General features: G+C 34.1%; 1 protein-coding gene across 5 annotated transcripts in view; it reads right to left on the bottom strand.

Annotated features, from left to right (window-relative positions):
• Positions 1-13483, bottom strand: part of DYNC2H1 (dynein cytoplasmic 2 heavy chain 1) — a 370438-nt gene that overhangs the window by 111790 nt on the left and 245165 nt on the right. For all 5 annotated transcript variants that reach the window (NM_001080463.2, NM_001377.3, XM_017018291.2 and 2 more), the window contains one exon: positions 9715-9831. In NM_001080463.2, coding sequence (NP_001073932.1) covers positions 9715-9831 — 117 coding nt within the window. The remainder of the gene's footprint in view (positions 1-9714; positions 9832-13483) is intronic.

Below are 13483 nucleotides of genomic sequence, written 5' to 3'. Positions count from 1 at the left end.
TTTACTGTAGCACTATTTACAAGACACAAGATACAGAACTAACCTAAATGTGCAACAATGAATGGATAAAGAAAACATGGTATATATACACCATGGAATACTGTTCAGCTATAGGAAAAAAAAGAATGAAATTCTGTCAGTTGTGACAACACGGAGGAACCTGGAAGACATTACATTAAGTGAAATAAGCCAAACACAGAAAGTCAAATACCACATAATCTTACTCATGTGGAATCTTAGGAAAAACGTTGGTAACATAGGAGCAGAGAGTAGAACAGCGGTTACTAGAAACTGTGGAGGGGATACATAAAGGGAAGATAAAAAGAGGTTGTTCAACAAGTACAAAGTTATAATTAGATATAAGGAATAAGTTTTGGTGTTCTATTGCCCAGCAGGGTGACTATAGCTACAGTACCCTACAGCTATAGGGTGAGTAAAGCATAGCACAAAATAGCTAGAAGAGAGGCTTTCCACATTCTCACCACAAAGAAATGATAAATGCATTAGTTGATGGATACGCTAAATACCGTAATTTGATCACTATACAACATATATGTATTTAAACATCAAATTGCACCCCCAAAATATGTACAATTACAATGTGTGGAGTATAAAGGTAACAACAAATTTTGAAAACTAAAGAAAAACCTGGGTTTCTACTTTATAAATAAGACAAAAGTGACCTGATAAAAATGGGAGTAGGTGTCCTAGATGATTTTAAAACTTTTCATAATTATGTATAAAGAATTATTTAAGATTTCCTTTCAGAATCTTTGATTTAGTGGAAAAATGATGAAAAAGCATTCTAGCAATAACTATTGGAACAATGAAATACATTTTTTAAAAAACTCATCTGATAAAGCAGTATACACACACCCACACTCAGACACATACAAATGTGTATATCTGAATAACATTTAGCCACAACTCATATATTATTCATTAAAAATGATTATTATTCTTCCCAGAGAAGTAATTCATTTAGAACAATTTCATTAGTAGTTGATTGAAAACTTGCTTAATATGCAATTTAATTAGGATTCTAAAATGACCCATGATATTAAACTAAGCTACATTTTTCTACAGACCTATTTTTTGTTACGTTATTAGGATAAGCTTCTCTGTTAATTACATCTTTAAAATAAATGCAAGAAAAATTATGCCACTCTTCTAAATTGTTTAGTTATCAAAGGGATATCAAATTTCAAGGATACAGAGAGATTACAGAGCAATTTCATTCCTAATATTATCTTTAAAATCTGTATTAGTAATAGTTTATATTTATTGGACACTTAACATTGGGCTAGGTGCAGTTCTAAGTCCTTTACAAGTATTAACTAATCTAGTCATTATGACAATCTATTATCCCCATTTCACAGAGGAGTCAACTAGGCAAAGCAAGTAAAGAAAATGGGCAGAATTACATCTGTAAGCAGCAGATCTGGAATTTTAAACAAAGCAGTGAAGTTCCATGCTCCATGCTTTACGTCATTAAACTGCATTAAGAATGAATGGTAAAAATATCTCATTTCAGTCCTATTTTAACATTTTATATTATCTTACCAATAAGATTTTATAAAAAATAATGATAAACTATATTAAACTAAAAATTCTATGAAAAACATTTTTTCTTATTAAAGGTTCATTTATAAATAAACCTTGATTTGAGTCCTTATCCCTTTTGCTTTATTATCTAGTGTTTTACCTTAAAATGCATGAATATAATAGACCACAAAGACTTTAACTTTGACTCTCTTGCTTTCCCTCTCACACACGACACACACATTCATATATGCACACATGTGCTCAAGAACTTGGCATTTGCCATTGTAAATGCCTGACATACTGCTTTACTTCTGTATTAGCAATGAAAAGTGACTCTTACATTCAATCCAACAAGACATTAAGGAAATGTTCCAACCAAAAGATGAAACCCAGAGTTGCATCACTTCTTCCAAATCCATCATTTTTGTTGTACCACCTAAGGAGACACTAGCTATTCAATTATCCTTGGTTCCATGACTACGTTTTACAGAAAGGGAAGTTTAAACATGTTTAATGCCTATACAATTTTAAATATTTTTCTCTCTTAAGATATAAATTCATTTCCCAGTTCTATTGTCCTGCATTCAAAACTACTTCACAAAAAAGGAGCATTTGTTCTTATCTGCGTCTATTAAAGATGATCGAACTAGTTCATGATTCACAAAAGCTACAGATTAGTCCAAAATTCATAAGCTCCACTTCTTCCTTTAGTTTCAACCAATCTGAACATAGCTCAAACACATAAAGCCAAAGATGTAGGTTTTAAAAATTGCAAAATATAATTTCTTTGCATGTTCAAACCTTTTGAAGGGGAAAGAGAGAAAATTTTCCCTGTACAATAAAGAATTATAGTGCTATATCTACTTAGCTTTGCCATCTCAGTTCTCTCCTTTGGCTATTCAACAAGTTTGAAGGTTAGAAACAGCCCAGATCTAAACAATGAGTTAAACTGACACCTTTTCCCTATTTCAATCTGATCAAAAAATGTATTTTGGACCCTTGCCTGAATATAAGTACTTAGGTATTCCTGTGAGTTCCTAACTTATTCAGCCCAATAGGAATTAAAGTTACAATTTCTGGGCTTTACATAATTTATTTTTAGAATCTCCAGCAACCTTCTATTACTAATTTAATTACAAAAGGCCAATACACTTTTTTTTTTTTCCTGAGCCGGAATTTCGCTCTTGTTGCCCAGGCTGGAGTGCAATGGTGCGATCTTGGCTCACTGCAACCTCCGCCTCCCGGGTTCAAGTGCTTCTCCTGCCTCAGCCTCCTGAGTAGCCAGAATTACAGGAATGTGCCACCATGCCCAGCTAATTTTGTATTTTCAGTAGAGACAGGGTTTCTCCATGTTTGTCAGGCTGGTTTCGAACTCCTGGCCTCAGATTATCCCACCCGCCTCGGCCTCCCAAAATGCTGGGATTACAGGCATGAGCCACCGCACCTGGGCACCAATGCACATTTCTAACTTACCAATGTAAAATATTCTACAAATTAAAAAAGAAGAAGAAATCAATAATTATTTTATTAAAAGTCATGAGTCATCCTTGGCCTGCAGTAGAAGGAGAGATGCCAGGTGGAGATGCTGGGCAGTACTCTGACTTCTGCCTGCTCCCTGAAGTAAGAAGCATATTGCTCCTCCCCTGCAGTGCCTGTGGGTGGAATTCTGGGCTCCACTTCACTACTGAAGTAACGAGAGGGCATGCCCTCCCTCTCACAGCTGGCTCTGTGGAGACTGTGGGGAGGAGGTAGTGATGGCAGTGGTGGTGGTAAAGTCCTGTCATATAAGACACAAGTGAGGCAGACCAGAATAGCACTGCAGATATTTTATAAACCAAATTGATGTTGGAACCACAACCTATAGAAGTGAATCAAGACATGCATTCTGAACTTAAATAGGTTGACTACCTGCTTAAAAAAAAAAAAAAACAACAAGATTTAAATACGAACCAGAGTCTTACAAATATTTAAAATGTTCAGGATATAGTACAAAGTTATTCATTATACCAAGAACCAGTAAAACTTCAATTTAAATTTAAAAAGAAAGATTATCAGATGCAAACACCAACATGACACAGAAGTTGGGATTCTTGAACAAGGACTGTAAAGCAGCCATCATAAAAATGTTTCAAGGACCAATTACGAAACTATTCTAACAAACTCAGTAATCAAATCAAATACCAGCCCTTAAAAAAAAAAAAATCATCAAAAGGAAACTGCTTCTCACGAAAGCCTCCTATCTCCTTTGTCAGTAGAACCCTTCTGTTTTATTTAGCCCTTTTGCTCATAATTTATTAAGATTCTTAAATTCTTAGAATCTACTGAAGTTAATATTTTGATATTTTAAAAGTCAAATGTAGGTACTGCATTAGATTCTTTACACATATTGTTAATAGTATTCACATTATGTAAAATGTTAATATTTTAGTAAAACTTAACTATATCTTTGGTTTTCTTTGGTCATTTCCTTTTCATCATTCTCTGTCAGATATCTAGAATAGCCAGACATTTGCATATTTTTTATTAATGGCATTTCTTGCTTGCCTTATGGAGCTTCAAGGTCCTCATATGGAAAAAAGACTCCTATTACATTGGGAAGTCATAATGCTATCTGTCATGAGTTTTTGTGAGTCCTTGGCTCCATGAAAATAAAATAGTGTCTACTGTCAAAATAAGCCTAGCTGGTGTTTACCTTTTATATAATAGTGTTTTCTCCCCTTAAACATAAAGCAGCAGAGAATGCACACTAAATCAGCTACAATAACACTTTTGGATGCCTTAAATTATTAGTCACAATCAGTAATGTAGACTTAATTTATATTTTCCAATCCCTTTAATCACTAGAAACATTTCAGGATCTCCATATTCCAGTTTCAACATGATGGTAGTTTTTCCTAATGATCCCTAACAGGAAAATTCTAAAATTCTAGCTGTTAAAAGATAAACACATTAATTCCATATCTATCAGTATTTCCCTTAAAGGAGCTCAAGTTTGGGAAAGAACAAACTCGGAAAACATTTTTTTTAGAATAAGAGTTTGCCTTGTGGTAAGATTTTAAATTGAGTATTAATCTAAACCCCTAACAGCAATTTTGAAATTGCTAAATTCCAGAATCTTTAGAGTGGCTGGATAAACATTCTCTCTCAGTTGAAATAACACACTAGTAGATCTCCTCTCCAGCTCACTTATAAACATATCTAAAATAAACTGATTTTCTCATAAACTAATAGTTCTAATTAAGAAAAAAAGCAGTGGAGAGATGAGAGAAGCTGAGTTTTGGAGAAAACTACTTCAAAATAATTAAAGTATTCTTGCACATTTACCTCTGATGTGTTAAGAAAAACAGGTTGGAAAAGTTTCTTGGAACTGTAGTATTACTAAGGCATCTCGTGCAAAATAACAGGATAAAAATCAAGCTAAACCTAGACCAGCTGTCAGTATACTTAAATGAAATGCCTGTTATATTATATTATATTATTTATTTATTTATTTATTTTGAGACAGAGTCTTGCTCTGTCGCCCAGGCTGGAGTGCAGTGGTACAATCTTGGCTCACTGCAACCTCTGTCTCCCGGGTTCAGGTGATTCTCCTGCCTCAGCCTCCCAAGTAGCTGGGACTACAGGTGTGCACCACCATGCCTGGCTAATTTTTGTATTTTTAGTAGAGATGGGGGTTTCACCATGTTGGCCAGGCTGGTCTTGAACTCCTGACCTCAGGGGATCCTCCCACTTCGGCCTCCCAAAGTGCTGGGATTACAGGCGTGAGCCACTGCGCCCAGCCACCTATTATATCATTTAAAGAGTAGATATACAAAGATTAAATTGGGAACAAGGATGTTTAGCAACTTTGTAGCGCTCTATTTGGTCAACTAAGGCAAGTCAAAGAAAACAAAGGGACAGAAAGCTGAAACTTGATTAATTGAATTGGTTTGAAATGTGACATTGAGAAGAGCTAAAAGGAATATCTGGGATTATATCAACAGTTGTAAAAAGTGGGAAAAATATTTCATATATCTTGATTGAGCTAATAATTAAAAACAAATACACAAACCAAATAGTCTTGTAAATACTGAAACAATGGAATTCTATATGACCAGAAGTAAGGACAGAAAAGCAAGGCAAGATTAAACTTCAGTGGTTTCACATTGAGAGAAGTGGTTACATCAAGATCCTATAGCTAAAAAAAAAAAAAAAAGAAAAAAAAAAAAGAAAAAAATTAATATATTTAAGAAGCAGGAATGTCTATATTTATTATTGATCCCTCATTTAGCAAAAATCATTGTTTTTGTTTTCCTAAATGGTTTAAGAGCTTCGATTTTTCAGCATCTTCAACTACTTCCTCAACGGGATCTTTCTCATTAGCCTAAAACCAACCTAATACTTACTTTCCCTCTCTAAGAAAAAAACACAATGGGCCCTGTATCTTGATCACCTTATTTCACTACTCTCCTTTATAAGCACATTTTAAAAAAGAATTGTCTAGATACATTGACTCCAGCTCCTCATCTCCTATCTCTAGTCAGCCTTTAAATCTAACTTCCAGTCTCCTTATTCCACCTAAACTTTACTTGTCAAGGTCACCAGTGACCACTTTTATTCTGAATATCCAGTGGTCAATTCTGTCCTCGTTTTGTTTAACCTCTCAGAAGCTATTCGGCCTAGTTAACAATTTCATTCCTAACTAAAGATTCCTCAAGGTTTCTATGGTAACACAGTCTTCAGTTCTTTTTTCGTTTTTTGTTTTTGTTTGTTTGTTTCCCTATAATAACTCTAAATTTTTTTCTCATAATAACTCTACATTTTGACATTACTCAAGGGCACCCACTGCTCTTCATCTGCTCTGCCACCGTAATGTAAGCTGCCATCTGCTCTTACCTGGACTACTGCAGGAGCTTCCTGAATGCTCTCCTTACTTTCTCACCATCTTCTACACAACAGCTTTCTTCAAAAACTTTTTGAAATTGTAAACTAGATCATACCCACTCTACCTATAACTTCCATGGTTTCCCATTGCACTTGGAATAAAATTCCTTATCCCTGTCTTAGTCTGTTCTGGTTGCTATAACAAAACACCATAAACTAGGTGTCTTATAAACAACAGAAATGTATTTCTCACAGTTCTGGAGTATGAGAAGTCTAAGATCAAGACACCAGCAGATTCTGTATTTGGTGAGCACCTGCTTCCTGATTCACAGATGGCAGTCTTTTTGAAGTGTCCTCACGTGGAGGAAGGGGTAAGGGATCCCTCTGGAACCTCTTTAATAAGAGCACTAATCCTATTTGTGAGGGCTCTATTCTTATGCCCTAATCATACCTCCCAAAGACCCCATCTACAAATACCATCACTTTGAGAGTTAAGACTTCAACATATGAATTTCAAGAGGGAAACAAACATTCAGATCATAGCATCCCCTTACCTCATCTACTCTATCCTTTGGTCTCTATACTCCAATCACACTGACATCCTTTCAGTTTTATTGAATGCGCCAAACATTTTCTCTTCTCTGGGAATTTGTGTATGCTGTCACCTTGGCTTGAAATAGTCTTCCCCTCCAACTCTGTCTGGCTAGCTTCTCATTGCTCATATCTTGGATTCCATTTCACTTCTCAAACAAGATACTCCCTAACTATCCAGGCCAAAATAGGTCTTCTCCCTTATTATAACACCACTTGTGCTTTCCACCCACAGCATCTGCAATAATTTGTAATAATATATTTTATTTATTTACTTGCTTCATCTTCTAATATCTCTCTTACGAACTAACTGTAAACTCCACAAGGTAGGTACCATGACTATTCTGTCCACAAGTATCTCTGCATAGTCCCTAGCATAAAAATCACTGAAACACATTACGTACTCATTAAAATATTCTGAATGAATGACAGACCAATAATATTGTGAAATAAATAATAATAATTTGCTTGAAAAAGGGTAAAATGAATGATCATATATTATAAATGACCATTCATAATAAAAGTACCTTTGATAAATGTTAAATGAGTAGTTAAAAGAGAGTGCTTACATATGCCAGACACTATTATAAAAGCTTTACATATATTAATGCATTTAATCCTCATGAATACTATCATTGCTGGTGATGATAGTAAGTAATGATAGTAAGTACTATCATTATATCCATTTTACAGAAAAGTCGAGTAACTTTCCTAAGCTATACAATTAGAAAGTTCTAGAACTGAAATTTGAACCCCACCGGTCTGGCTCTGGAAGTCCCATTTTTATCTCTGTTATATAAGTGAAGAGAATTCAAAATATTTAACTGCATTATTAATTAATTAGCATTCAAAATCATAATTTTATTTTAGGGGAAATTATGATTTCCCCTAAAATAGTAATTTCTCCTAAAATGAAACCTTTGAGCAACATATTCTATAATTTGTCCTTCTGGCCACATACTTCAATGTTCCTATGATATTGTACTCTACCCAGATTCTACACTGTTACCTTTGTATGTAGGAATCAGGTAATTAGGGGGTGTGTTGTGGCAGAAATCCAACATCAGAGAACTAGTAATGGGCTATATCTACATTCCAAATGAGGGTTTGGGCTGGGCGTGGTGGCTCACGCCTGTAATCCCAGCACTATGGGAGGCTGAGGCAGGTGGACCACCTGACGTCAGGAGTTAAAGACCAGCTTGGCTAATATGGTAAAAACGCATCTCTACTAAAAATACAAAAATTAGCTGGGTGCCGTAGTGTGCACCTGTAGTCCCAGCTACTCGGGTGGCTGAGGCAGGAGAATCACTTGAACCCGGGAGGCGGAGGCTGCAGTGAGCCGAGATCATGCCATTGCCTTCCAACCTTGGTGACAGAGTGAGACTCCATCTCAAAAAAAAAAAAAAGTAAAAAAAAAAAAGTAAATGAGGGTTTGGGGAAAGGCAGAGAATACAGTGAGTTTCTAATCTTGAGTTGGGTCACAGGAGGCAAATAATCTACATGTAAGCCTTTGAAGTCATTCGTATAGTCTTCTTTACATAATAATCGAAAAAAGTTTTCTCAGAATTACAAAGAAGGTATGTATGTGTGCTGGCAGTGAGGGAGAGAGACTAGCCATAAAATCAGATGTGCCTGATGAAGAGAAGCAGTTAGTGCAAGGAAGTCTAAATGACACATCCAAGTAAACTTTGCACAGATGGAAGAGTCAACTGTGGGAACTTTGAAGTGCAAAACTTCAAAGAATGTAGTTTAAAAAAAAGTGGCTTAGTAGAAGACTGCACACTTAGCAATATGAGCTGTCCTCGCAACTTCATTAATGATCACTAAAACTACAAAATCACATCAACGGATTTCTTATAAAAAACAGAGATATAAGTTGTGCTTTAAGGTTAAATCAAATGTGGAGCAAAAACAACATGGACTTTGCAAATTCAGAAGTAGGCAGAGAAAATTATAGGGGACTAAGGTGCCAAAACTACAGAGTAGACTCTAATCTTCCCCCAAACTCTGGAAATTGAGTCAAACAAGTTAACCTGTATTTCACAGAGAAGGAAACTTTCCAACAAATACCTGGATTATGTCTCCAAAATGTAAGATGAGATCTTTGCAATAATTAAGGTTACTTTTGCCATTGGTTTTCTGTTTAGTAAGAGGTGAACTTAGTCAATTATGCAAATTATTCCATTTTCATATTATTACTAAGTAAAAACTGAAAACAATCACACATTATTCTCAGAATAAATAGCTATATTACATAATAATATATATACATATGAATACCTACATGGTTGTACTATGTATATACATTTTAAGAACTGCATGAATTGGGAAAATCATTAGAAAATACAAAACTGCCAATGTCACTTAAAAAAAAGTTGGAAACTGGGCTCAGAAACTGTTACAAGAAGCATAGCCCTGAGAGGAAGAAAATTATCAAACATCAAGACAAGGAATGAACTGCTAAAGGGAAGAACTGAAATTATGTGAATATGATTACTTATTTAAAGATAAGGAAAGATCTATTTCATAAAAGAGAGAGTAAAAAATACTAACTTTGATGTGCACTGGTATGAAGAAAGGAGGTCATGGGCCATGACTTCACAGTTAGGAACCTCTGCAATGTGATTACTTGTATGACTCAGGCAGAAATGGGGAGCACATGGTTACGATGCGGGAGAAAAAGCAAAAGAATCAGAAGAATATTCCACTACTAACCTGGTTTAGTTTCTTCCAGAGATTGAGGACAGGAGAAAGTTCATTAGACCAGATTTCTCTATCAAATTTGGAACCAGCTGTTATGGATCTGCCCAAAATCCTCAACTGTGAAATAACCTGAATAAAAAAATAATAAGTATCAACAAATAAAAAGAACTTCAGCCGAACAGGAAGAAAGAACATAGGTACAAAAACAGACATTTTGTTTTATAAAAATAGAGACCAAAAATGTTGTCAACAGTTTATAATCTTATTATCTCTCTTCAATTGGCTTAATATTTTACTGTTTTATTTAAGCAGTTTAAAAAACAAAAGAACTCAAAGTTGGGGAAAACCGATTTTTAAATTGTATACTATAATGGCTTGTATTTGAAAGATGCTTCATTTGTTGTTGTTATTTGGATTTTTTTGAGACAGGGTCTTGCTCAGACACCCAGGCTAGAGTGCAATAGCGCAATGATAGCTCACTGCAGCTTCAAATCCCTGGGCTCAAGCGATCCTCCCATCTCAGCCTCCCTACTAGCTGGGATTACAGGTGTGTCCCACCATGCCCAGCTAATTTTATTTTTGGTAGAGACCATGTCTCAGTATGTTGTCCAGGCTAGTCTTGAACTCCTGGGCTCAAGCGATCCTCCCACTTCGGCCTCCCAAAATGCTGGGATTATAGGCGTGAGCCACCAGTCCTGGCATAAAGCTGCCTCTTTATCCAGAAAGCTCTAATTACTCATAATTAATAACCGCTCAGTGTCTCTATTTGTTCATTTCTGAAATCTGGAATTGTTTTGATTTAAATTTCATAATCTCAAAATGCTGACAAAGATAGTTTCCTTAAAAATATGAAATGACTGGAAAAAGAATAGCATAATAAACCCTATAAAATGGTAAAGCAATGATAATTACTGGTTGATAAGTTATTTATAAATGTTTTAATGCTCTACATTAACTTTAAGTTGTAATTTCAATGTTTCCTCTACATACAAGGCTCTAATGAAAAAAGTATGGGTCAATCAATTCAAACAAGGCAAGGTAAATATTCCCTATTTAGGGCTTTCACTTCTATAATGTCCTTATTATCAGTTTCTTTATCATTATTCTCATCAAAACCAATTCACTCACTTTTTTTTCTAAAATAATACTTAATGATTCCCATTTTAAGAACATTAATGAATCTTATTAATCATTTGTTAATGATCGAGAATAGTACTAACTATGCTAAATATTAGGTTACAGATAATGTGATATATGTGTGTTTATATATATAAAATCAATGATGTATATATTGTTTTTCATATTATACCTAAATATTAAAATTGTGCTATCTCACTGTTTGTCTAAAATAAACAAAATAAATCCAAAAAACCAGATATATCTTCCTAAGTCAGCATTTTAAACTTCAACATTTGCAGCATGTTGACTACTTCTGTTTTTACTTTGGGAGAAATGTGATTTGTTTTTCCTTTTGTAACATATTGAACTATATTTCATATTTTGTTAGGTTCTTACATTGGTAAAGTTCATAACAAAATCAGGGCCATAAATCTTTCAGAATGAATGTAGGATTTAACTGTTAAACATCAATAATCATGCTGTTAAACTCAAGTTACTTCCAGAGTGTTTGACTGATTCTCTAGTCTTAAAAAACTGTGATTCAGTGTTTGATTTTTTTTGTTTTTCTGATAAATTATTTTCATTTGCTCTAGCTGAACCCTACAATAGCACCTAATTTATCAGCTTTGCTACACTACAAAACACAACTAGTTGGTAGTCAGAAGTGCTATTTTAACTCAAGTTTTGCTGTCACTTATTCGTGTTTTAAATTTGTCAAACATGACAGAAAACAAATAAGACTGCAAAGAGATGTCTAAAGGAAAAAGAGTGCAAATTTTTTTGTGCATGATGTTAAAATCTGTTTTAAGAATAAAATGTACACCAACCAAAAAAAGATGTCTTCTGTCCAAGAAAAATAACATGTGAGGATTTCTTTTTAAATAATACTATCATAATTTTTAAAGAACAGGCAGTAATAAGAAAGGGAGTTCAAACATAAAATAAAAACATTTTTATTAATGAGGACAGGGCTATAACTTGTATCAATGAACTGTCTGTTTTTATAAAATCTACCACATATATTTATCTTTTTATAAAGCATAGATAATAAAATATCTATTTTTCATATTTTAAGCCAGTTAAATATAATTTTTTCAGAATACTACTTTAAAATGGTATCAAAAGGGATAAAATTTAATTCATTAACAACATATTTACATCAATTCTTCCACTTTCTACCCATAATTAACAGCATGAATTATGCTACTGGCATGCTTTGGGAGATCTATAAGAATTGCAAAGGAGCCAGGCACAGTGGTTCACACTTGCAATCCTACCAACTCAGGAGGCTGAGGTGGGGGGATCACTTGAGGCTAAGAGTTTGAGACTAACCTGGGCAACATATTGGGACCTCTTCTCTTAAAAAATTTTAAAAATACATTAGTCAGGTATGGTGGTGTGCACCTGTAACTACTGGGGAGGCTGAGTTGGAAGGACTGCTTGAGCCCAGGAATTCCAAGCTGCAGTGTGCTATCATCATGCCACTGTACTCAAGTCTACATGACAAAGCAAGACCCCATCTCTAAAAAATAAAAAATAATTTAGAAAACAAACTTTTAAAATGAAGAAATTGTAGGAAACCCACTCCTACTTCACCTGTTCTTATTTCAAAGACCAGTGAGAGACATTTCAGGAACACCTATGTTTCCTGAGCAATTGGTATGTTTTATTGTAAGACACTAAATCTTATACATAATTGTATTTTCCTTTGGATATCATGAAGCACCCCAAATGATTTCTGATCAAACAATACCAACTCTATAGGAACAGAAAGTACAAGCTTTTTTGTTTTGTCCTATTTGGCATAAACTGTTTCCTTAGTTTTATTTTATTTTCCCATCCTAATTTTCTCTTACACTAATTTCCTCAACTACTGATTTTATCCTAGTAGATTATTTACATTTTTGTTAGTCACTGCCAGTAATTCTTTTTTGGAATAAGAAGGAATATAAACACTCATTCTCATTTTATAGATGTCAAAGAAATTAAATAATTTACATTTTTGTTACAGGGAATATGGCAGACTAGATTTCTGGAGAAAATTTTATGATAAAGCACATTTCAAAATTATGAATAAGCAAGAACATCATCAACTAATGACTTAAAATTTATGACAGAATTGTCAAGGAAAATAAGGAAAATCTTAAATGCTAAAGCCAAAAGAGAAAAAATACAAAGACATAAAATAATAAATAAGAGTTTTAAAACATGGAGAAGAAAATTAAAACTCTTAATATATGCCTATTCAGAGTTATTACTATATGAAGAGCTAATAAAAGGAGACAGAGGCAATTTTTAAAAAGAAACCTTCTGTGAATTTTCCAGAACTGATGAAAGACAATACTTCTCATATTCAGAAAAGTCAAAGAATCCCAACCAGAATAAATGAAATCATCTGGTACTGCACAATGTAATTGGAGAACATTGAGGAAAAAAAAAAAAAAAGATCTTACAAGAAGCTAGAAATAATAGATTATTCCAAACAAACACTTCCCAACTGCAACAATGGAAGGCAAAACATGTTGACAAAAAGACTGTCAACCTAGCATTGTTATAAATTTAGCAAAATTATTTTTTGAGAAAATATAAAATATGAGTTTTTTTGAGACAAAACTGAGAGTGCACTATCAATAGAGCCTCACTATTTAAACCATGGACATTA

Source organism: Homo sapiens, chromosome 11, assembly GCF_000001405.40.
Source record: "Homo sapiens chromosome 11, GRCh38.p14 Primary Assembly".
NCBI classification, from domain to species: domain Eukaryota; kingdom Metazoa; phylum Chordata; class Mammalia; order Primates; family Hominidae; genus Homo; species Homo sapiens.
The sequence above is the reverse complement of the archived record's forward strand: the minus strand, read 5'-3'. Positions and strand labels throughout refer to the sequence as shown.